Genomic DNA, 2,179 nt, shown 5'->3' on the forward strand with positions numbered 1-2,179 from the left:
TATTTCAAAACAGCTAGCAGAGAGGACTTGAAATATCCCCAATACACAGAAATGATAAATACTCGAGGTGATGGATATCTGAAATACCCTCACTTGATCATTACACATTCCTATGCAAAAATATCACATGTACCCCATAAATATGTACAAATATTATGTATCAATAAAAAAGGAATAGGCTTTCAAACTATTCCTACTCAATCTGATGTACCAGTAACTCAAACCCAGAATTCCTTAGTAGTTTTAATCTTGTGATCTAGCACTAGTCCTGGTAATTTGTTTTCTAGCAGTTTACCTTAGCCTTGGTGTTCTGTCCACCTCGGTAGCCCTCAGTTTCATGGCATTCCACTTTTGAATAATGCATACTTGTAAGCTGGGGTGACCAGGCTAGGAAATGATGATTCTTACCGAGACAGCCAGATGTGAGCGGGTCCCTGGAGAAACTCCCACCAGCCTGCCCACTGAGGTAGAGCCTCAGGAAGTTCACGCCCTTTGCATCGGGGAGGGGCCTGGCCCCTCCTCTTCCTGTGTGGAACTTGGGATTCAAACGGCCTGACAGGAGGCGCTTTAGTGGAGGGACTCTGGCCTTGCAAGAGTCCCTGTTTCCCCACTTCTTCCCTTTTTACCTAATAAAACCCTGTTTTACTCACCCTTTAAGCCATCTACGAGCCTGAATTTTCGTGGCCATGGGATGGACAAGAACTTCCCCCGTCTTTAGCTGAACTAAGGAGAATCCTGCAACATTTTTGGTGTGCAACGTGTGGGCTCGAGAAGCAGTGACTGAAGTGGGGACTCAAAACCTCTCACTCTTGCTTTTACGCCTTTTCATCCTCGGACTTCTGAGGGTGGGGGAAACCATGCCTCCACCCCTACCGCCCCCCACCCCCATCGCTCCTGGACTTTTTCACTGCCTTTTCCTTCCTTTTTCAGGACCCACCAGGGAGCTCACCATGGCTCCCCTCTCCCTGCCGGGGCTGGGATGCATGGCCCAAGCGTCCCGCACAGCTGGCTGTCTGGTTCCCAGCAACATGCATCCTTCCCCTTCCCTGGCCAAGGGCTTTAACAATATCGGACAGTGATTAAGCTTAAACTTGTCTCCTGGCGGGGCGCGGTGGCTCATGCCTGTAATTCCAGCACTTTGGGAGGCTGGGGCTGGCGGATCACGAGGTCAGGCGATGGAGACCATCCTGGCTAACACGGTGAAACCCTGTCTCTACTAAAAATACAAAAAAAAATTAGCCGGGCGTGGGGGCAGGCACCTGTAATCCCAGCTACTCAGGAGGCTGAGGCAGGAGAATACCGGGAGGCAGAGCTTGCAGTGAGCCGAGATCGCGCCACTGCACTCCAGCCTGGGCAACAGAGAGAGACTCCGTCTCAAAAAACAAAAACAAAACAGAACAAAAAAATCTTGTCTCCCTGGTGGAGGAACCACTTGCATAAGAATAAGACGTTCTTCCCCAGGCATTAAACTTTTTCTTTTCTTTCCCCTTCTCTACCCAGTCAGCAAGTTAACTTTAAAAAATGTTTTTTCTTTTAGAAGATGTTTTACTAGGCTAGGCAACCCCCCCAGCCCCCCACCGCTCCCCCAACTATCACTGTATTATCTGCAAAGTTTTGGCTGTGAAATCAAGCCTCCATCTTGTTTTCTATCCTGAGGGCATAGCTGGTAGCCACTTGGCAGCTTTGTTTAGCAGTCCTGCCTGAGGGGATGAGCCCTCTCGGGTTCGATAGCTGCATGTTTTCCTATCCCTGTCTCTTAAAGGCCCCCAGCCAGTGACTGGGTTCTCTTATGAATGTGTGTACTGTGTATGATGTCTGTAAAAAGAGCTCTAATTAATTTGGCATAAAGAAGCGCAAACCCTTGGATCAACTACTTTTCTTAAGGCAAGGTAAAGGCTGTAGTACCTTTCAGTTCAGGTGACTTTAACCTTCAAGAAAAAAAAACAGCCCTAAAGACTATTGGTAAAATGCAGGTCAGAGGCAAGGTTTGTTAAGTATTTTGAGGTTACAAACTGCTTTCTGGGTTTTGAGAACTATTTGACTTGCCAGCTTCACAACTGGCAAGGCCTAGGGACATGTGGAAGTAACCACCCTTTAACTAAGAAGGCAGACCTTGGCTGCAGTTAGCACACAATTAAAGCAACTTACCAAGTTTTACCTTAAAGTTAAAAATTAGGAG

At 47.5% G+C, this 2,179-nt stretch overlaps 1 annotated feature.

Moving 5' to 3' along the window:
- Window positions 1,272–1,979: an enhancer, noted in NCBI's record as "NANOG-H3K4me1 hESC enhancer chr18:48302541-48303248 (GRCh37/hg19 assembly coordinates)". NCBI's record gives its function as "activates a minimal SCP1, AML or CMV promoter by ChIP-STARR-seq in primed H9 embryonic stem cells {active_cell/tissue: H9 hESC(primed)}" and the evidence as "EXISTENCE:reporter gene assay evidence [ECO:0000049][PMID:30033119]".

The sequence above is a fragment of the Homo sapiens genome, chromosome 18, assembly GCF_000001405.40.
Source record: "Homo sapiens chromosome 18, GRCh38.p14 Primary Assembly".
In the NCBI taxonomy this organism is placed as follows: Eukaryota; Metazoa; Chordata; class Mammalia; order Primates; family Hominidae; genus Homo; species Homo sapiens.